The sequence below is a fragment of the Homo sapiens genome, chromosome 5 (assembly GCF_000001405.40).
Source record: "Homo sapiens chromosome 5, GRCh38.p14 Primary Assembly".
In the NCBI taxonomy this organism is placed as follows: domain Eukaryota; kingdom Metazoa; phylum Chordata; class Mammalia; order Primates; family Hominidae; genus Homo; species Homo sapiens.
Genome location: NC_000005.10, coordinates 152,255,398 through 152,279,569, shown reverse-complemented (window position 1 = coordinate 152,279,569; position 24,172 = coordinate 152,255,398). Strand labels below are relative to the sequence as shown.

The window sequence follows — 24,172 nt, the reverse complement described above, 5'->3', positions numbered from 1 at the left end:
GCAAATGTCCTCTTAATAGGTAATGAGGCAAATCATAGTAGCTGGATCTGCTGTGTAAGGCTAAAATGTCCCTAAATAGAATATGGCTCCAAGTTCTCCATGGGGCACATGCATCAGCAATTATGTAAGTAAGTCATCAAGAGGAAGCAACTTCCACTCAGCATCCTTTACCCCTAGCAAATCACAGCTGTGCAAAGAGGAAAAGTAGGGTAATGAGATGGGGTCATGGCCTGGGAAGCAAAAGAGGCAGAATAAAAGGAAGTAAGCAGGACACAGGCCTTATCTCTTACCACTTACTCTCAAATATTTATCTAGCCTTACTGAACTACATGTGTGTTGCCATGATGTTTCTCTTGTCCAGGCCTTTGCACATGTTGTTCCCTTCCCCGGAAATGTTCCATGTTTCTTTAACATGGCTAACTCATGCTCACCCATAAGGTATTAGCTAGGATATCACTTCCTCCAAGAAACCTTCTGAAACCTGGATAAGGACCTATTATTAACCTAAGATGTTCCCTATTATATCATTGATAACATTACATTCTAATTATCTTATTTATCTGTCCCTCACTAATAAAACAATAGTCAATGTCTACTGAGTGTGTAGTGTGCGTCAGGCACTGTACTAAATATCTAACATGGATAATTTTACTTAATAGTACAATGATTCTACTAGGCAATATTCTCATTTTACATATGGAGAAATAAGCTCTGAGAGATTAAGTATCTTGACCAAAGGCACACAGGTTATGCATCTAGTGAGCAACAGAGCCATTTTTAGAACCCATATCCATTCACATGCTCTTAACTATCATGCTACACTATATCCCCTTCTGTGTGACAGGCTCCATGGAGCAAGGACTGGAACCTAGTCACATGGTACACCAGCACTGGTGTGCGCAGCAAGTAAGTGATAATCGACATGTATAAGTTGATTGAATGAAGGTATGAATAAATGGAGGCATGAAGGAATTTAGTTACTGCACATTAGAAACAAAGTCTCTACAAGGTCAATTCGTTTTTGAAGAAACAGGGCTAAATGGAGGAAATTACTCTCATGAAGTTGTGTGTTTCTCACGGTAGCCAGAAAAAAAAAAAAAAAAAAAAAAAACCAATTCACCCTAATATGCAAAGGAAGGCAGAAGTCAGAACCAGAGCAGTACTGTCTAGGGTCAGACCCAAGGAAGAGGCCATGAATGGAAGAGGAGGAAAGGGTTCAGGAGCTGGAGAGCTAGGAATAGATAAGGGTGCCAGGTGCTAGAAAGGTCAAAAAGAGATGAGTCAAGAGAGATAATAAGCTAAGGGTTTGGCTGGAAGTCTGTTGTCACTAGTGCTGGCCACACCACATATGGAATGGGTTGGTTGCCTTAGAGTCAGGAATGGATACATAGAGATCTATGTTTATCAAGATCCATATGGCTTGGATCAGAAACCGATCTCCAAACCTACACCCTCCCGACTACCAACTGCTACTTTTCTAAGCAATGTCTGATGCTCACATTTCTCTTCCTTTATTTACATAAACACAGATTCTGCAGACTAGCCATTTTTTTTCACAGTTGTTCTCATGGTAGGAGTTTCAAATGCTCCAGTCCAAGACAGAAATAAGCTAAGAATGGAGGCAGGAATAACCTTTTGTAAGATCTAGGATGGGTGTTGGGGAGCTCATTTATAGGTTGTCTTATTTAGTACACTGGGACTATTAAGTAAGCTCATTCCTACAAAATTCATGTATGACCCATAGCTGCTAAAACTTGTTTCAATTCTACAAATGACTATTTGGTGCCTTTGGGTATGAGGCACTAACCTGGAAAATACAGAGATGAGTAACAGAAGGCTAAGTTCTACAAGTCCAGCAAAAGATTCAAAGGAAAGCCAGAATGGAGTTTAAAATCAGATGACCTGAGTTCAAGGCAAGGCCCTGATCCAGGTCTTCTAGGCTACGATAGTGACCAAATCCTCACTAACCCTGTGATATTGGACAGGTTAAATAACCTTACTGTGTCCTAGATTTCTCATGTGTGAAATGTGAAATAATTACCCTTACCTAATAGGGTTGTCATAGGGGTGAAATGAAATCACACATGAGAAAACATTCCACAAAACTGTAATCACCAGGCATATTTAACTGTCGTTACTGGAAATTCCTCTGCCTCTGTATGGTACCACCTCATTTAATAAGCAAGTTGAGCCAGATGCCTGGGATAGAGATTTAAATCCCATGAACATGAACTGTGGCAAGTAAAAGAAACCTCAATAAAGTCCAACGAATCTAAACCAATGTGTATTGAGGACTTAGGGCACACCAAACACCGAAGTGTAATTAAGCCTCATAACAGTTGTTTCAGATAGGTACAGTTCCTTATTTTAAAGATCAGAGAGATAAAGTATTTCAAATAAATAGAGCTGGTATTTATGCACAGGTCAACCAGTCTCCTCTATACCAAGTTGCCTTTTTTTGAGGGGTGGGGAGGCACAAATATTTTATTTTGTCTGTAAATGCAGCCTGCCTCACACCCTGAATCAGCAACCCCCAGACAGTTCTTCGCAATGGAACTCTATATTCCCTAATCCAATGATATAACTTTTCTCCTCACTTTACAATTCTGTTATTCTGCAAGAAACCCACAAGGGACAAGCATATCAGCAATGAAAGGAAAGGCATATATAAGCCAGTTTCTTTATCAGCCTCTCCCATGCCCGTGGTTTCAGGCTGTGAAGGCAGAATGGGAGCTGTAAGTAATGCTAATAGCATCATCCAAGGAGCACCAGATAACAGCCCCCACAGTCCCAAGAAGGAATTGCTTTTGTGCCATATGGGTTTTTGTTACCACCCTGGCTGGGAGATGAGATTCAGCGAATCAGATGAGATGGGCTTAGAAACCCCACTAATTCATGTCTGGCCCACAGCTCCCAAATGGGGGTCCAGGAGCAAAAAAAAAAAAAAAAAAATGAATTCACCCGTATATTTCTTGAGCAGAGGCTTTGAATATCCTTGCACAGAAAGAAAGATAAACCACACCCTGAAGAATCTGGCATTATTCACCTTGTAGGAGAGAAAGGTCAGGAGAATAACCCTGTCATCGCTGATGGGCTTCCTTGGGGCACAGAGGGCTGGATCCTTTTGAGGTCTGAACAGGTGCAATAGAACTCTGGGGGAGAAGCTATAAGGAGGCAGAGTATATCCCAACATGAGGGGAAAACTAACATACCATAACGGAGTGGATCCACCCAGGAGAAAGTGGGTACTCTGCCACCAGAGTATTCAAGAAGTTAAGAAACCTCAAAAGGAATGTCACAGAGCATATCTATGCATCTGGTGGTGGTGAGATGATCAAATGATACTCAATTCTTTTCCAAAACTGGGATTCTGATTGGAAGTAGTATAGTACAGTGGTTAAGGTTGTAGACCCTGGAATTAGAATTTCTGCTTCTCAACTTATCTGTATAACCCTACATAAGTTACCTCGCCTCTCTGGGCTTCAGTTTCTTCTATGAAATGGGGATCATAATAGTAGTCCTCTTACAGAGTTGTGAGAATCGGATGAGTTAGTGCCTGTGCTGTATTTAGAGGAATATTTGCCATACAGTAAGTACTCAGTAGACATGTACTAAGCACCTACCAAGTGCCAGACCCCCTTCTGGTCGACAAGGATGGACAATCATATACAATAAAAATAGGTGTCTACTCTCATGAATAAATAAATACCTATAATTTCAGATGTCATTACAGCTATGAAGAAAATAATGGAATGTAATATAACAATGTCTTTGAGGAAGGGGCAAGGAAACTAAATAGGGAAGGCAAGAAGAGTTTCTCTGGGCTGAGTTAGCCAAATTAAGAGAAGCAGCCAACATTGCTGAGTTGGGGGCATCCAGGCAGAGGAGATAGCAAACACAGAGGCCCCAAGGCAGATAAAAGCTTAGGATGTTAAGAACAGGAAAAAAAAAAAAAAAAAAAAGAAAAAGGCCTGCCTGTGTGGCTTGGAGCTGAATGAAGGAAGATGGAAAAAAAGATGGGAAATAATATCAAAGAGGTAGGCAAGGCCCTTATCCCATGTATGATTTACAAACATTTTCTCCCAATCTGTGGGCTGTCTCTTCATGCTGTTGATTGTTTCCTTTGCTGTGCAGAAGCTTTTTAGTTTGAGGCAATCCCATTTGTCTATTTTTGTTCTTGTTGCCTGTGCTTTTGGGGTCATATATAAGAAATCTCTGCTCAAACCAGTGTCGTGGAGCTTTTCCCTTATGTTTTCTTTCAGTAGTTTTACAGTTTCAGATCTTAAGTTTAAGTCTTTCACCCGTTTTAAGCTGATTCTTATATACATGGTGAGATGAGGATCAATTTTCATTCTGCATGTGGATATTTAGTTTTACCAACTAAAGGGAATGAAGAGAATGTTATTTCCCTGTTGTGTGTTCTTGGCACCTTTGTTGAAAATTAATTGGCCACAGTTGTGTAGGTTAATTTTGGATAAGGAGTTAATATCCAAAATATACAATTAACTCAAACTACTCAATAACATGAAAACAAATAACTCTATTTTAAGGGCAAAGAAGCTGAATAAACATTTCTCAAAAGGAGACATAAGAATGGCCAACAGATATATTAAAAAATGTTCGACATCTCTAATCATCAGAGAAATGCATATTAAAACTAAAATGAGATATTACCTCGTGCCTGTTAAATTAGCCATGATCAAAAAGATGAAAGATAAGTGTTGATGAGGATGTGGAGAAAAGGGAACCCTTGTACACTGTTGGTAGTATTGCAAATTAGTACAGCCATTTTGGAAAACAGTATGAAGGCTCTTCAAAAATTTAAAAATAGAATTACCATATGATCCAGCAATCCCACTTTTGGGAATATATCCAAAGAAAATGCCATCAGTATGTTGAAGAGTTATCTGCACTCCTATGTTCACTGCAGCATTATTCACAATAGCCAAGATAGGGAATCAACCTAAGTGCCTATCAATAGATGAATGGATTTTTTAAATGCAGTATATGCACACAATGCCATACTATTACTCCTTAAAAAGCAGGAAATCCTTTCATTTAAGATAATATGAATGAACTTAGAGGACATCATGCCAAGTGAAATGAGCTAAGCACAGAGAGACAAATACCACATGATCTCATCTCGTTTGTATGTTGGATCTAAAAAAAGTTGAACTCAGAATTAGAGAGTAGACAGCAGACTAACACAGGAACAAAAAACCAAACACTGCATGTTATTACTCATAAGTGGGAGACGAACAATGAGAACACATGGACAAAAAAAAAAAAAAGTAGAGAGTAGAATGGTGGTTACCAGAGGCTGGAGGTGGGGCAGGGGGTTGTGGACAGGGAAAGGAGAGATGTTGGTTGAAGTTTCAGTTAGGAGGAAAAGGTTCTGGTGGTCTATTACATAGCATGGTAATTACAGTTAATAATTCAAAAGACTGGATTTTAAATCTCACCACAAAGAAACTGTAAGTATTTGAGATGATGGATCCACCTAATTTGATCATTTCACAATGTGTTCATGTATTGAAACATCACATCACATTGTACCCCATAAATATGTATAATTAACATTTGTTAGTTAAAAATAAAATTTTAAAAAGGCAAGTGAGAACAATCATGTAGCACCCTGTAGGCCACAGTGAAGAATTTGAGTTTTATTCTAAGGTGGCTGGAAGCCACTGAAAGTTTTACGCAGGGTAGGACACTATACAACTTATATCTTACAGAGATCATGCACTTGACTTATAAAAACACTCCATGCAGGATCCTTCCTATTCTTTCCTGGTTTGTAGAAATCTCTGAGGCCCTAAAAGAGCTCAGAGTATCAAGACAAAGGTACCCTGTTGGGGCTCCTAGATAATCATATGAGTGGCCCCATGCTAACCAGGAACACTAATGTTGAGTTGTTATGGAGTAAAAATTCACTTTATTTTATTAAGCCAATGAGAAAAGAAAGGAGGAAAAGAGAGAGAGACGGAATAAGAGGAGGAGAGAGGGAGAGGGAAGGATTATTCTGGCTGTTACATAAAGAATTCAAATGTGGGGTCAGGGAATGAACAAAACAGGAAGTATAAAGACCTTCTCTTTATTTCCCTTGTAATACTTTACATAGAACAGGTTCGTTCTCTGTCTCTCTGTCTCTTCTTTCTTCCTTTCTTCCCTTCCTTTTCTATCCCTTTCCTTCCCTCCCTCCCTCCTTCCTTCCTTTTCTTTCATGGATTCAGTCAAAAACCAGCTAAACTATGGCACGAACAAGTAGACAACCACCTTCCTTATAGACGCTGGCTGTTAGGGAAAGCAACAGAAAATAAAAGTGGCAGCCCAAGTTGACCTAAGACAACATCCACCAGGTACCCTACTTCCCCTTTCAGAGCTAGGTTTGATCTTTTTTTCATCAGATGATGATGATGATATCAAACCTCAGACTGCCTTTTCGAGTCCTTGGCAGATACGCAACATTGGCTTTCACACCATTGACTACAAAAATAACAAGGCACAGGTAATTGAGTTGCAGTCTGTAACCAGGTAATTGCTAACCCAGGACCTCCTTTGCCAGATCCTCCTACTGCCCAAGCACTATATGTACATTACATGTGTATCTATATTCATATTTACTCACCAAGAAGCATTCATTAAGCACCTACTTTGTACTAGGCACAGTTCTGAGTGCTAGTTATACAATAGTGAGGCAAATAGACAAAATCTCTGCTCTTTTCTCACTACATTAGTCAAAAACCACGGACAAGACAGATGAGACCCCTAGTCTCATAGACAAATACACATCATTTCAGATGCAGATAAAAGGTATGAAGAAAATAATAGACTGTAATAAAATAGAGTGTCTGAAGAAAGAGCAGCAGAATGCAAAGTGGGGCAGGCATGGAAGCTGGCATTCTTTTACGGAGGAAAGAGGTGATAAACAAACAAGCAAAATGTGTCCAATGGATAAAGCAGGGAGGATTGGAGCAATGATGAAAAGAATATTAAGAAGTGGGTTAATATAAAGTCATGTTTTCAAGCCTTGTGATTTTTTAGTTATGGGGGTCAGGGAAAAGAAAGGAGTCAAGGATGTCTCCTCTACTTCTGGTTTGTGCACTGGATGGTGGTGTCATTTAGGGACACTGAAGGAAAACCAAATTTGTGGGGAGAAGATCCTGAGTTTTGTTCTGAACGTTCCTCTGTGATGTTCAAATGGCGACATCAAGTAGATAGACAATCAGCATCAATGACATTCAGATGATAATTGACATTTTGAGCATGGATGAGAGTTCATAAAAATCTGATCTACACTGCAGGTTGGTATGACAGCCCCATGAATTTGTTCATGAACAGACTCTTCTACTTTCCTCTCTACCATCCTAAGATTGTGGCCCTTGTCACATGGTTCAAGATGGCTACTAGAGCTCCAGCTGTTAAGTCTGGTCAGGCAGGAAGCACACTAGTGTTTCCTCTCTGCCATTAGCTTGCTTTTAGGCCTTAGCAAACTCATTTCCCCCCTTGGACCAGTTTGTCCATTCAATTTGTCAAGTTCCTTGTTGTTTTATCACATCCTGACTCTGTGTCAGAATGGGAGTTGACTGGCTTCCAACCAAAGCCAGTCAACTATTTAACTATTTCATTTCTTATTGGTGCTTTGGATGGGAGTTTTCCAGGGAACTCAGGGTAATTGCTTTTGTCTCTGTTTCCCAAGGGGCTGACTTTGATTCAACACTCTTCTCATCTGCAGGTTAAATTTGGGTCTTTTATCTGCATTAAACTTACCGGGAACTATCCTTTATGTGGTGTCAAACACATCACATGGCTGGCTATTACTGGCTGAATTTAGACTCGCCCTTTCAGCTAAAGATCCTGGGTTGTGCTCTGATGGTCGGGGCTGAGCAAGTTGACTTTCATCTCCCTTGGGATCCTCTCTCTGAGAGCTGTGGGTAATCTGAACCAGCCACTGGGTGTCAGCATTGCTTTGTCCATTTAAAGGAAAAGTAGATATTTGTGTGGTTTGGGAGTTGTTCATGCAGTAAGTTTGGGCTCTAAAGTGAGCACAACCACTTTACAATTCACATTTTACACAATTCACATTTTTTTGGCACTTAGCATCAACCAAAGGAGTTCGCTTCTCTATCATTACATCCGGACTCTTCCTGCTCGTTTTGGCTCTTCCATGTCCCTCACCTGGATTACTGCAACAATCCCCATTTCCAGTTTTGTGTTGCTGAAGTCTATCTTTTTCATCCAGTTACAATCAGGACTGTAACAGGCTCATTTGCTAATAATAAGCCACCTGTCACTGGAGGTTTGCAAACAGAAGGAGGAAAACTACCTGGCAGGAATTTTTGTAGAGAAAAATTTATGTAAATAAATGTATTATAAATATAAATATAAACACACATATATGTTATATATATGTATATAGTCACAGGTTATAAATATTTGGTCCACAATGGCCAGCATATATAACAATGGTCCCATAAGATTATAATAACCTATGTTACTATATCTTTTCTATTTTTAGATATGTTTAGATACACAAATACCATTGTGTTACAATTCCCCACAGCATTCAATATAGTAACAAGTTGTACAGGATTGTAGCCTAGGAGTCATAGGCTATACCATATAGCCTAGGTGTGTAGCAGGCTATACCACCTAGGTTTGTGTAAATATGCTCTATGACAGCAGTCCCCAACCTTTTTGGCACCAGGGACCAGTTTTGTGGAAGACAATTTTCCCCAAGCAGGGAAGGGGGATGGTTTCCAGATGAAACTGTTCCACCTTGGATCATCAGGATTAGATTCTCATAAAGAGCACACAACCTAGATTCTTTGCATATGCAGTTTGCAATAGGGTTCATGCTCTTATGAGTATCTAATGCCTCTGCCGATCTGACAGGAGGCAGAGCTCAGGTGATAATGCTGGCTCACCCACCACTCCTGCTGTGTGGCTCAATTCCCAATAGGCCACAGACCTGTACCAGTCTGTGGCCTGGGGTTTGGGGACCCCTGTTCTAATCTATCTTTTTAGCAAAGAGAAAACATGTCTCAGGCTCAGAGCCTTGGCAGGTATATTAGCTATCTATTGCCACATTAATATCTGTAGGAAACAAAAACAACTCAGTGCCTTTCAACAATAAACTTTTATTTAGCTCAGGAATCTGCAGGTCTGTCTTTAAGACCAGTGGTTCTTTGTTCTTGGTCTGGACTTGCCTCAAAGTCATGCGGTTACATTCACAGCTGGTTCTTGGCTGGGATGACTGGACTCTGCTTCATGTATTTCTCACATCTTTTCAGTACATTATCCCAGGCATGTTCTCATTGCAGAGGAGCTATCCCAGTCACACAAGAGTTTTTCACGCTTCTGTATGTGTCAAATCTGCTAAAACAACATTGGGGAGAGCAAGTATTATGGCTGAATTCAGAATCAAGAGATGGAGACAGGAACTTGCCTAGTAGTGAGGGAGACCCAAAGTCATGTGGCAAAGAATATGACACAAGGTGGGATGAAAGATTCATTAATGGTCTCAGTGCATCTACTAGAGCAGGCAAGGTTGTCTAGCCAGAATTTAGTAGAATGTCTTTTGTTGTATTTTTTAAACTTTCTTTTGTGCCAAGTGATGAAGGTTTTCAATGACGGTAGTAATACAAAGTTTCTTTTAAAAAAAAATTTGAGACAAATGTAGGTGAATGTAAAAAAATCTTTTTCAAAAAGTAGGCCATGTTATACAGAGGTATGGCAAAAGTTATCAGAGGAAGGGAGTGACAAGTTAAGAAAACTGAAACAGGATGACTGTAATTGAGACTGCAAGCAGGGGATGCATGCAAGAAATGTTGCAGACTAAGCAAAATCAGGTTACTCCATGTGAACACACTCCATGTGTTCTGCTGAGTTAGGCTAAACAAACATTTGTTGAGTGTCAACTACCTGCTTGACACAGTAGCAGAAGCCCGAGTAATAAAGATGAAAAGCTCAAAATCCCTCCTAAGGCAGTAACTATAACTTTGACATACTAGGGTAAACTGTACATATAGTTGATGTGTTTCTGGGTATCTACAGAAATAGCACTAAGCTTAGGCTGGGAAGTGGGCTTTGGGAAAGGACTTCCCAGAGAAGGCTCTGGAAGGATGAATAGAGGGTGCCCTGGTGAAAAGGGTAAGAGAGGCAAGAAGGGGGGTCTCCAGGCTTGAGCCTTTAAAGGCATGCAGAATATAAAATTCTCCTTGGAAATTTCATTCTTACTGAAGCCCCATGTTTGAGACAGGACATGAGACTAACTGTTGGGAGCAGCCAGGCGTAGACATCTCTAAGCTAGAATTCTGAGTTAGGCAGCTTAGAATTTATCCGGTTATGAACAACAGGGAGTCATGGAAGGTTCTTAAGCAGAGAAAAGACACAGTTAGTTTCGTGTTTTAGAAACTTGCCCACCTATCCCTGCATCCAAAGAGATATCACATCTAATCTAGCCACATTTAGCTATATATAAAAATACACAAGCAGCCATGTGTCACTTAATGATGGGTATACATTCTGAGAAATGTATCATTAGGCAATTTTATTGTTGTATAGACATCATAGAGCAGGGGTCCTCAAGCCCCAGGCTATGGACTGGTACCAGTCTATGGCCTGTTAGGAACTGGGCAACACAGCAGGAAGTCAGTAGCAGGTGAAAAAGCATTATCAGCTGAGCTCTGCCTCCTGTTAGATCAGTGGCAGCATTAGATTCTCATAGAACCATGAACCCTATTGTGAACTGTATATGTGAGGGATCTACGTTGCATGCTTCTTATGAGAATCTAATGCCTGATGATCTGAGGTGGAATAGTTCCATCCCAAAATCATCCCCCAACCATCTGTGGAAAAATCGTCTTCCACAAAACTGGTTCCTGGTGCCAAAAAGGTTGGGGATGGCTGGATTAGAAAGTATTAGAGAAGTGTTACAATGTACACACAGGTCAAGACATCACAGAATAACCCACCCTCCATGCCCAATGTACCCCATAAATATACACAATTATTATTTGTCAATTAAAAATAAACAAAATTTAAAAAGAGAAAGTGTTAGAGAAGTGTTAAAATACTAGCACCCAATTCAGAATGTCTCCCTGAAATAATTAGACAGAATGAAATGAAACTGCAAAGGGAATAATTGTCTCACTTCATAACTCAAATGTGATTTATAATAGTTTACATATAAAATTACCTCTCCCACACTTTGTGATAGACTGCCCTAGTTCTCACCATTTCTAACTTTTTTGTGAACAAAGGATGCTTCCAAAATTGTCTTAGGCTCATTGCCTAAAAACTAAAGCCCAAATTTGATTCAAATTCTAGGTGTTCCATGATTGGTCCCAGCTTTGCTCCCCGCCCCACGCTTACACCCACTGTGTCCCTTTCTTTGCATAACCAGTGCAACAACCCAACTTCTTCAATGTTTATTGAGCACCAATGGCAGCTGCTTAGGCAGAGCCAGACCCTAGCTAGGAGGTGGGGGAAAAGGTGATGATTAAGATGCAGCCTTCACTTTTATCAAGCTCTCAGCTTCTAAGTAAAACATGGAAGCAGCCACATAACTCTACTGTAGTGTGTAAAAAGTAATTCCAGAAAACTATAGAAATCCATAGGATTGGTATCTAACACAAACAGTCAGAAGTAGGTGAAGCTTGATTTAGAGATGGATCTGAAGGGGAATTCATGCCATTATATAAAACGAAACCTCTCCAGAGTCTTCTGCCACAATCTGGAATAAGTATATACTTTTCTGGACCCCTATCGTACTTCATAGCACATCTTTTATTATTTATACTTCATTCATCCATTCTCTTAGACTATTGACTCTTTGAGAACATTGATCATTTATCTTTGCACCCACCACAGCAGTAGCAGGTCATGAAGCAAATACCAGATACTGGCACATGTTTGGTTGATGGATGGGTGAATAGATGGATAAATGGATGGGTGAAAGAGAAGCTTTTGGCACATTTAAGTGTCTTCATTTAGGTAGCTACCTAATCCTGCGATTCCCAAATCTGGCAGCCCATGAAGTGTATTTAGGGAGCTTTAAAATATATATTCCCTGGGACCTGCTTCCTTAGAATATTCTGATTTGACAGACATAGGGTGGGTCTCAGTAGCCTATATTTTAGCACACTTACCAGAAGATCCTGATGCATCTGGTCCAAGGACTGCATGCTTAGGGATCATAAGGCTAACTCACCTGAGTGTCACATTGGCTCCATACTCTCACGTGTCCTATTTTTGAGATGCTTGGCCTCCTTTTCACCGATGGTTCAGCCTACTCAGATAATCTGCAAGAGGAAAGTACACTTATGACTTGGAAAATTCCATAAGGAGTTGTAACAGCAGTAATAACAATAATGTACTGCCTGCCATGTATTATATATCTAGCAAGTGTCTGGCATTCTGCTGAGTGCTTTTATAGATAGCCGCTTATTTAACCCTATCAGCAACCTTAATAAGGCAGGTGGTCTTTGGTATCCCCAGTGTACAAATGAAGAAACAGAGGCACAGGGAGGCTAAGTAACCTCTCTGTGGTAAGGTTGGAACTCAAATGCAATTCTATCTGACCTCAGAGTCCCATGGCCACAGTGTGTGAAACTGATATGCATAAGAACCACATAGGTATCCAGACTAAGAAGAGAACTGGTGGTCATGGGTCAAACTAAAGTTGGAAAAACCTCAGCTGGTTACAAAAAAGATCTTGGTGGAAGAGAATTTAAGGAAATGAAAAGAGCACTACACAAGGAAGTTAAGCAATCTGGACTCAAATCCTAGTGCTGTCAACAACAAGAATAGTAAACACTCATATATTGTTTACTATGTGCCAGCCCCTATTCCAAGTGCCTTACACATGGAAACTTACTTAATCTTCACCACAATCCTGTGAGGAAAGCACTGTTATTACCACCATTTTACAGTGAGGTAACTGAGGCACAAGGAGATTAAGCTAGCAAGTAGAGAACTGGGACTCAGACCCAGACCACCCAGCTCCAGAGCCCACCAAACGCTTAGCCACCAAGCTGCATAGTAATTAACCATGTAAACTGCGGATGTTTCCATCCCTTCCCCTCATCTAGGCCTCACATAAAAAATGGAGGAATTGGCTTAAATAATCCTCACTGTTTCTTCCAATTTTGCTATTTTGGAGTCTAATTTTATTTAAAGATCATTTAAAAAGAGTACAGATTCCCCTTTTCTGTAAGAATATTTTTAAAAGCAGATGATTTCTTGAGGAAGAATTAGATAAAGTCTTGCTTGAAGCCAGAGAGTGCAGTAGGCAACTTCTCAAGGTCAAGAAGTGATGATAGCACAACCATAGGAACTTTCTAGGAACCAAACGGAGTGAGCTCCTTGCTTCCAAGGACACGTTACAGCCAAAGACCTTAAAAAGCTCATTGTCCATCACCAAACATTTAACAGGTCCAATTTTCCTGATTTCTTTGAGAGACACAACCTATAACAAATCAACTCAAGCAAACAAGAATTTCAAAGGAGTCAATGCAGTTGGTTTAAATCTGGGCTCTGTTGTATAAGCTATGTGACACTGGGTAAGTTACTTAACCTACCTGAGCCTTGATTTCCTCAATATTAATGTCAGACAATAACAGTACCTTTCTCACAAGGTTGTCAAAAGATTTAAACAAGATAATACGAGTAATTGTGGATACAAACAATATTAATAATAACAATAACAGCAATAATAAAATACTTGCATACTTAGTACGTAGTGTTAGGTATTGTTCTAAGCAGTTTACAATCTCCTATCCAATCAAAACAAATCTATAGCAACCTTGAAAAATGATCTCACACCCTCTTCTTGGACCCACAATAATGGGTAACTCACTAACTTCCATGTTCTGTATCAGGAATATGATCTTTACGAGGGTGGAAATCATCCTTTCTCATTACTTATGTATCTTCAGTACCCAAATATCTTTTCCCAAATAATTTCTCAAAAATCGTATGAGTGAGCTATACGAAGGATTAACCATACTGTAGGTTTGTTATTGTTATTAATAGAAATAGTCAACATCAATTGAGCATATATAACATTAGTAACAATTGTAATTAATGACATGAGCACATGTAATGTACTACTCTATAGAGATAATCTCACATAACCCAGTGAGATATGACTATTTTATTATCACTAGTTTTCAAAATTCCTATATAGTAGAACAGGGATGTCAACTAAGCAGTCTGACCCTGACATTTGTGTCCTCACAATGCCATATTGTCTCTATGGGATGTGACATGTCAAGGACCCTAGCAGTTAGCATCCTTCACTTTGTAGTAATCTGCTTTTCATCAAAATCTTTTCACTGCATTCAGAGTGAAGTGCACACAGCCAGAATATTACAGACCTTAATGTCTTGGTGCCCATCATATATTTTCACTGAGCTTCCCAGACTCCAACTTAAATAACGAATTATGCCCTGCAGTTCAGGTTCTGCACGAAGTTGCAGATGATGGGTTGCTGGTTAGCATGTCAGCTGAAGGACAATATATTTTAATGCAAATGCAATGAGCTGGAATGACAGTATTTTCTCCAAGAGCCTTAACTAGGTTAGCATGACCTCCGAAGGGGCCAGAATTATAACAGCAAAATTAGAATAGAAAGGCTTATAGAGATTTCTATGCTAATAAGCCATGTTTTACTGGAATGATTATGTTCAGCACAATGGCCATTTGCCAACTTCAGGCTGGGCATCGTTTGGTCAGGTGACCAACAGAAAATTATGAGTCAGAAAGTGCTGGAGAGGCCACATTCAGGAGATGACATACTAAAAGTGGTGACAGAGGTAGGATAAAAGTGATAGGACCCCAAAGAAAGAGGGTTTCCTACAGGAATCGTTAACACATAGTTTTTCTGCTTTGCAGTTTGTGTCATGCTACAGTAAAACTCCTGTTTGAGAGTTGATAAGAGCCATATCCCCCTGGGACCTGAAAACAGGGATGAAAGAGGAGAGAAAAACAAGAAAATAGTTCTTTCCAGATTGAGGAATTTCCTCACACATCTAATCATTGCTCTGGGCTTGGAGACTCTGTGTTCTGCTGAAATGAGGGGGAGAAGCCATTTTCTTTGACTCGGCCCAACACAAAGCTCATCATCCCTTACTTACACTTGTTTTGCTTTGGAATTTAGAGAATTGACAGAAGCCAAGCTGATTAGACACAGAACTTTGTACAGACAAAAACTAAAAAACAATTAAGTCTGACTTTCTCTAGTCTACCCACACATGTGTCTGTAAGAGTCAACAACAATCAAAGAAGGAAAGAAATTACTAAAGATGTACCACAGTGCCCCTTGGTATTTAAAATGCCATCTGAACAGATTGTTAATGGTTTTCAAAAGATGCCTTGGCACCTCCCCAGAAATACTGAATCATAATCACAAGGGGAAACAGAGGAGAAATGATCTATATTTTCAAACTAGCTGTCCAGATAATTCTGATGCAGGACTAGATTTAAGAATCTCTGCTTGGGACCATAATTCCTCACACAATCACACATAGGGAAAGCAATGATGCTATTCTGGGTTCATCTTACCCAATATTCAGGCTCTCAGTGCAGAACAAAGAGCCATGATCCAAGGAGCATAGCTGTTATCTTTCCTGACATTGACCTCAAACAACATTGAAACAATTAATAATCACCTAGCACCTAATATGTGCCAGGGACTTTTACATATATTATTTTGTTTCAGTCAAAGGTTAATGCCACTTAAATATTTAAAAATTCAATATATAGAGATATTACTCTTAGAATTGTTTAAGAACAACAACATTACAGGTAATTGGATCACACCATTTTGTTCACACTTCAACTTGGATGAGGATGTAAAATGAATTTATTTTTCCTGTAACTGAACTTTCATTTGTCTATAACCTTCATCTGACAGTTGGTAGAAAAATAAACTAAAGGACCAATCTAGTTTAAATCCAGTCTGTTCTTATTATCTGCATGGTCATTTTAGGCGATGTCAGTCTCGTTTGAATAAAAATGGCTTAATCTCTCATATAACCTCTCTCCGCTTCTCCATGAAGATAAATTCTGGGTACAAAGGTGATGAGAGGGATATATGGCTTACAAGCATTTGTGGTGGTATATAGGGTAGTGGGATGGCCTCCTGCCCACTCTGGTCCAGGGAGCACCTCCCTTGGCCACCTGGTTGCTGCTTGCCCCTCTGGCCTTCATGGTAAAATGGAAGCTGGCCTGACATACATTGTCATTTGTTCTCCTGCCTCAACTAGTATACAGAACTGGGGTTACCTGAGCTTCATCTTGCCTACTGCTAGCACCACAGACTTCTCTAAGGTTTGGCTGGAATTCCACTCACCCTACCTGGTGGGTCTGACCTGCAGTCTTTACTGCAGTGCCAGTTTGTCCCAGCCACTGAAACCCACTCTGGCAAGATCCCCAAGCACACTCTCAGGTTGCTTCCAAGTCCAGCCTCCACCACACTGGACTAGGAGTTTCATCCTGTGCCTTAGGCTGGGGAAGAAGCAATCAGCGTTGTCTCAATTTGTCTAATGAGCCTCCTGTGCCAAAGCCGAGATGAGAAAAATAGGACCATGTGTCTTTGTTCTGTTCTCCTGCTCTCTTCTCTTTTCTTCTGATTCCCACTATCTTTGAAGCCGGAAAAGGATAGGCTCTTCCACTTGGCCTTCCTGTGGAGACCTCTGGCTCAGATAAAGCATGCCGTTGATATGCTAAACAGGCAGCTAAAAGAATTGAGGCAACCCTCTCTCCAGACTACAGCCTGGTTATTTGTGGATGTTCCCTTTGGTCTGTATCCATTCTCTGGCATTCCTAATCTCCCTCTTCCTTCCTTTAAGCAATAGACTCCTCTAATCATCTAGGGCAAAGCCCAGGTAATTAGGAAGACAAAAGATAAAAATATAAATGATTTTTTAAAACTGTTATCCCATTAAATATGTGTGGGTGACCTTTATTATTTTCAAAAGCAGTTTTACTTTGTCAGGAAGGCAAAATGGATCTTCTTATCTGCATTTTACAGAAGACACTGAGGCACAAATTGTCATACGATTAGTAAATGGTCTATAATATTGCCCCTTTGTTTATCCCTTGAGCCATCTTCTTTTTATGATACATATTTCTTTTCTAGATTTAGTGATTTGTTTAGCCAATGCTGCTTCCTCAAGTAATGAGTCCCTTTAGATAGGACCAAGTACTACATGGATAGTCCCATTATTTTTCCTACTGACTCACACCCTACTGCCATAAAAGGCCCAAGTCAGACATCACTTCTCCCACATCACTCTCATTACCTTGCTGTACTTCGAGATTATTTTTAACCCGTCGTTCAAACAGCATCATTTGACCCACGATCCAATGTAGCAATGTCTTGTGTTCCTTTCTTGCTTATCTATCGTCTGTGCGTATCTGCTCTCGACTGGTCTGTCAGCTGTTCTGCAAGCTCTTTGAAGGCAGGGACTGTGCTTTATAAAGTCCACTCCAGCGGTTAAGACAAGAGAGATTCTGAGGCTAGACTGCAGATTCAAATCTCGTTCCTGTGCATGTTACTTAACATCTCTGAGCCCTTATCCCCCTACCTCCCATCTATAAAATAGACATAATAAAATGCCTGCTCACAGGGTTTTATTGTGAGGATTAAATAAATATACTTACAGCATTTAGAACAGTATAGGCACATAAGTGCTATATGCCTGTTAGATATTTTTATTCTATTCTCCTTAGCACATAAGACTTAGTTCAAAGCTGATACTTGTTAGTGCTCCTAAGTTGAACCATTTTCTAATAAGATTATTTTTTAGTATTTTTTTAAATAAAATTGCTGAGATACAAACCTAAATTTGTCACCAATAAAATCCTTCAGCTAAATGAGTTTATGAGAGTCTAAGAAATAATTTTGTCACAAAAATAGATACTGCCCCAAGTGCCACATCTCACACACACAAAAAGACAATGATAAGGATGACAATTTTCATCATATTCTGACATCTCTAGATTACACAAAGAAAGTGTTTTCTTGACTTTATCCCCTTTAAGCATCACCATACCTCTGAGAGGTTAGTAAATCAAGGACTAGGGCTTTCATTATACAGGTGGCGAAACTGAGGTATAGGAAGTCAAGTGGTTGAACCACATCACTGAGAAAGTTATCAAGAGAGGCGCGGCGGAACTCAGAACTCTCCTACCCCTAGATGCACATCAGTGCCCCGGGCCAGCCAGTAACAAAACACTTTAATGACCATCGGCTCACCTGATCCTCATAGAAACTCCCTGAGCTTCTCAAGAAAGGCATTATCATCCCTATTTTGCAGGCAAGGGCACTGTAGTTGTGGAGGCTAAAAAATGGCAGAGCCTGGGCTATAGCCCAAGCCTTCTGATCCAGAACGTCATGTTCCTTTATCTCCTCATAGCACCCAGCAACGCTGTGCAGTAAGGCAGGGGAGGCTCTGCAGCCTGTTGCTTCCAAGATCTGTTGTGGCCTCGGACCGACTTTGGTCTGGATCCCATCTTGACGCGTACTAGCTGTGTCACCTTAGTAAAGTTGTGGGTCTTTCTGGGCCTCTGTTTCCTTATCAGTAAGATGAAGATAATACTAGCACTTTCCTTATGAGGTGGAAAAGAGAATTAAACTGGATAGTCTACATGGATGCTGTCTGCACAGTATCTGGCAACTAGTAAGAACTCAGTCAATAAGACTGTGGAAAATACCTACTCCTCACTCATCCCATTTTGACGTGCAGGAACTTCAGCTACACCAACATTCCTGGCTTCTCTTCCCATTCTCACTCACATTCCCCATGGGAGAGGAGAGATTTATCAGAGTGACCGAGATCTGCTCTCGGTCATGCATTAGGTGCAACAAAGAAGGGCTGAAAACCTCTTAGGCACAGTATTAACATATGCCTTGTTGCCTCATCCCTAAGCCAAATCCTCCAACCTCATATTCATCAATAATGGACCTGATATTTTGATATCGATTGTTCTGATTCTTATATCTGTCTCTTCATTGGCTTTGGACTTAGAGAAAGATGTAGGTACCATCTACTGATTCCCTAAAAGCCAAACTAATATTAGCTGCTGCTATGATCATTAATATATAAAAATTGTTTCCAAGCAGAATTGTCAAAGGTCTCCAGCTTTTTGCTTTACATCAGATGGCTAGCGTGGCTCTAAAAGGTTTGGCTGCTACATTTCAGCAGCAATCAATGGTCTGCAGCACCGGAAGTCAGATACGAACCAAACCTTCGTCTCTAACACATCCCAATCTTAAACCTTAGGAATGTGTTGAAGACAAAGCTGACTAGAGACATTGTCTTAGGGCCTTTTTCTGTGAATGAGCCACTGTGGTTAGGAACCAAAGTCCAGCTAAATCTCGGTCATGTTCTCAATGTTCTGCTGGGTGGGTTTCACCTTGGGTGTCCCCAGAACTTTGTCAGAGCAGATGGGGAATTCTAGGAGGGTGACTAGACGTTCAGTCTATTTTGGTTCTCCAATTCTCCAGCAGCCTGGTGTCTGAGCTGAGAGAAATGGGTTGTTTCAGAGTACAAGAGAGTGCCAGTGGCAAGGGCTTCCACATGTCTATTTCTGGCTGTCCCCTGATGCTGTGTCATTGGAGGAGCTGTGACATCACAGCCTCTGCCTTTTTCCAAGGCCTGACACTATAGGTGACTCACAAAAAATGTCTGCTGTGGATGCCAGCCTGGCTCAATACACACAGCCAGAGAGAGTCACACAGAGTGACTTGTGCTGGGGTTGGGTAGGGGCAGGAAGGTAATCATAATATCAGGACTAGCAGTGACCTTAATTGCCCTCTAGTAAAAACTTCAAAAAAAGCCTGAGCCCTTGGCCACAACATTCCTATAAGTGGACCTCTATGCTCTGTTTGTACATCTCCAAGGATGTTGAACTCATTACCTCCCAAGCTACTTGTAACAGGATGATTTAAGCCCCAAGTAACAGTATATTTAGGCAAACTTTTCAAACTTCTCAGTTAACAACAAGCCTACAGGGAAGTGACACCTGAGTTGGTTAGGGGCTCAAAAGAGTCACCAAGGACCAAGGTCCTTTCTACCTTGTTGGAAATCGGTGATGGTTTTCCTCATTGGATCAAGTATCTTTGTCCCATATATACTATCAAAAGCAAGATGAAAATTGATGCACACAGGGGGCTTTTCCTCATATCTTCCCCTTTTAGTAAAAGTAGAAAACCATCCCCAAACTCCAGGAAACTTCCCCCAGTACCTCACTGGTCAGAACAAGATTGTATGCTCATCCCTCCACCAATCATTCACAGACGAGCAGAGGATTGCTGCAAGTCGCCTTGGCCAATTGAAAATCATGCCTTGGAGACGGATCCACTGCTCTCTGAACAAAGAATAGTTTTATAAGCAAAGAGGAATGGAAAACAGCTATTTTATATATAGGCGACCAACCATGCTTGCACAGTAGCTCAATTCCCTGCTGAACTATTTTAAAATTCTTTATAATACTGAGCTGAAAACTGCTTATTAATGATATATCTCCCTAGCCATTGATTCTAGATCTACTCTGATGGCTCACACAAAATAAACACAATATGTTTCCATATGGTAACTTAAAACATATCTGAAAACTGACCATTCTATCAACATGTCCAGTTTTTTCAATCCTTCAGCATAGTACAGAACTCTAGAGGCAGACTGGCTGGGTTCAACTCCCAGTTCTGCTAGGTGGCCCTGGGAAAGTTACTTTAATCTCTTTGTACCAGATTCCTCATCTGGTACAAAGGACCAGCTAGACGGTCCTGGGAAAGTTACTTTAACCTCTTTGTACCAGATTCCTCACCTGAACAATAAATACAATAGCAGTGCTTACCTCATAGAGCAGTTATAAGGATTAAATAAGTTAATATATATGAAACACTTAGAACAGTACCTGGCACAAAGTTGGTACATTTAAGTGCCCACTATTACATAATAATTCAACATTTTTGGTTGCTTTCTGCTTTCTTCTGTCAGCATTCCATTTATCTGCATCTCTGTCAAGAAGTTGAAGCAGGGCTTTAAATCTAGATTTCTCCATACCCTATATTTTATTCTCAGTAATTCAATATGCCTTCATATTTTCAACCTGCATTTGTGCAGTTGATTTTTTTGAACTTCAATGAGAGCCTTACATTTAACTCTATTTCATTTCATTGAAACACAACAGAGCTGAAATATGCCTATCACTCCAGGAAGGAGAGGTAGAGTGTCAAAACCTTAAATTCACCAGGCTAGACTGTTTTCCTCTCTAATGTTGCTTTCCTCATCCTCTCCACTTCTACCACATGGATTTCTCCCATTACTAAGCCTGGTCTAAGAGCCTCATATCAACTCTGTGAGCTTAGGACAGGGCTATGGGATGAATTCTGTTCCCCTGGCTCCCTATCCCTGCCAAATTCATATGTTGAAGTTCTAAACCCAGTATCCCAGAATGTAACTATATTTGGAGATAAGTTTTTTAAAGGGGTGATTAAATTAAAATGAGGTCATTAGTGAGGACCCTAATCCAATCTGACTGGTGTCCTTATAAGAGGGGGAAGTTTGAACACGCAAAGACACACCGGGGCACACACTGCACAGAGGAAAGATCAGGTGAGGACACAGCAAGGAGGCAGCCACCTCTGCAAGCCAAGGAACACTGCTGCAGAATGAAATCAATTCTGCCAACACCTTGATCTTGCACTTCCAGCCTCCAGAACTATGAAAATAAGCTTCTGTTGTATAGGCCACCCCAGTCTATGGTTTTTTACCCCTAGGAAACTAATACAGGCAGCCTGAGCTGGTTTCTTTTGCTTGCAATTAAGAACACTGCTTAAAATGTACCACTCATTCATCCTTTTCCACCTCCACCACCACTATGATCACCTTCTTCACTCTCCCTGTGTCTACCTCTTCTTTAATTATCCAGAGCAATCTTAATAGTCATTTATCTGCCTGGCCATACTTGCTTTACCAATCAGGGTGCCCTCATGGTCCATACTAATGCAAGTGTGGCTCTCAGAAAATCTACAATAGAGTCATTAGGAGGAAGGATTTAAAGTACACAGTCCTGGGCCCTATCAGGCCAATGGAAAGGCACTAGATTAGAAAGCTTCCCAGGGATTTTGTATCCACCTTTTGAAATACCTTTCTGTTACTAACAATTTGTTACTTTCATGGCTGGCTTCAAAAATCACTAATTGAAATAATGAGAGAAAAACTTGCCATGAGGACTTGAAAAAGTCATTTTTTCTTTCTGGACCTCAGTGTTACCTTTAGTATAATGAGGGAGGTAAAGCCTAAGATCCCTTAGGTTTAGCACATTTAGGTCAGAAATAGGCATCATAGCAGGTTGATACTGATGAATTTTCAAATCTCAAAACAAATTAAGATAGCACTCTTTCAGGTAAGGAGTAGTGCAGACAAATAGTCTAGAGAAATAAGAATCTAGACCAGACAGAGGAAAACATTGGCCAATGGTCAGGCAAGAGGGTGAAAAGACAAAGTGTGGTTGATGGTCAGGCAGTCCCTTATAGAGCGAGTAACACCTCTAAGGCCTGCTACTCCAGGAAGCCCACCTAGACTAAATAATGCAGCAGGGTGATCCTCCTGTTTCCGATGCGGTGACCTAGGAGTGACCAAACAGAAGAAGAGGACCACAAGGCTATGGGGCTGCCTTTGATCACAAACATCTGGGAATAAAGGCAGACGGAGGAGAGAGACTGTTTGTGCTAAAGAGGACTCAGCTGACCTGACCAGCTGGACAAACATTAGCTCTGATACCCAAGTGTCCCCCAGTGACTAAGAGTGCAGCCAAGCTCTGGAAATTAGTTCTTCCTTCCCTTTGCATGAAAAATTGGCCAAGGGTCTGTCTAATGGGGTGAGGGAGGAGTGGAATGGAGTGGACAGAAAGGGATGGAAGGGAGAAGATAGGATGGAGGTGGGGATGGGGAATTGAGAGGGAAAAAAACAGCCCTGGGAAAAATCACCCTCCCTAGGTCAGTCAGCTGTGCTATCAGAGGCTGTAGCCAGCTTTGCACTAATTCATGGTCTTGTTCCAGTTTTGAATATACCATATAATTTTAAATCACGTTGTATTTGTCATTCTAAAAGCAAGGGACCTTTTGCCTTTGCTCACAAAATGAATGAAAAATCCAGTCATGCCATTAAATATAAAATGTCACAAAATCTAAAATATGGAGGGACAGATTGCTCCAAGGGAGTACTACCACTCTGGAATCCTAAAATTCAGGTCCTATTCCAGGCTTGTTTATTAATTTGCCATTAATATATTCATTTATTTGTTCATTCAGTCAACAAATATTTATTGAGAACTCTCAGTATGCTAGGCATCATGCTAAACACTGAACAAGACAGATTCAGTTCCTTTCCTTCCAAGGAGTTCCCAGTCCAGTGGAGAAGACAATAAACAAAATACAAATAAATACTTATGCAGTTTCCTTTTGCATAAGTGCAATGGATGAGAAAGATAAGTGGTTATGAAAATGTTTGGTGGTCATGTCTTTTCTATGCAGAGTGAGGCAAGGTTTTCCTGAGTTCTGAGCTGGCCCTACCACTGCATCACATGCATGACAATTTTACTGGGCTAGTTCCTTCCAACTTGTTAGGCCTCAGTTTGCCTATTTGTAAAATGGCAAGGCTGTACTCATGAACTCCAATGTGTCTTCGTTACACTATGAGTCTTACATCTGTGAGTATATATAAATATTGTATGTTCATATAGAGCCCATTATGAAATGAATTTAGGGAAACTGGCAGAGAAAACGGGGTGACTTTTCCCAACACAGAGACCACTGGAACACAGCCCTCACCAGAGAACAATTTCTCCTCCCAGAACCTGGTCAAATGTACCATTCTGTCAGGGCCATCTCTGGGTTGGCAGCTTGCAAATTTTCTTCTCCCAGCCAAAAGCATATTTCACCAGCATGCAGGCAGAAATGACAGAATGGGGTTAGGATGTGGATAAGAGCGACATGGTTATTTTCATCCACGGCACTGCAGAGGAGGAGGTGGCCAGGAATCAATGATGGTAACTTTCTGGGATGAGGCAAGCAGAGATGCCTATGAGGATGAGGATACTGTGGTTCACTGGGGCACATAGGTTCAGAGTCTAGAGAGATGGACTCAATCAGAAA

General features: G+C 40.6%; 1 long non-coding RNA gene across 1 annotated transcript in view; it reads right to left on the bottom strand.

Annotated features, from left to right (window-relative positions):
- Nucleotides 1-9,120: 9,120 nt before the first annotated feature.
- The window catches only part of LINC01933 (long intergenic non-protein coding RNA 1933), a 311,552-nt gene continuing 296,500 nt past the window's right edge, over nt 9,121-24,172 (bottom strand). The window contains exons 2-3 of the long non-coding RNA NR_109876.1: nt 12,215-12,305; nt 9,121-9,375 (exon numbers count right to left, since the gene is read on the bottom strand). This is a non-coding gene — a long non-coding RNA (long intergenic non-protein coding RNA 1933). The remainder of the gene's footprint in view (nt 9,376-12,214; nt 12,306-24,172) is intronic.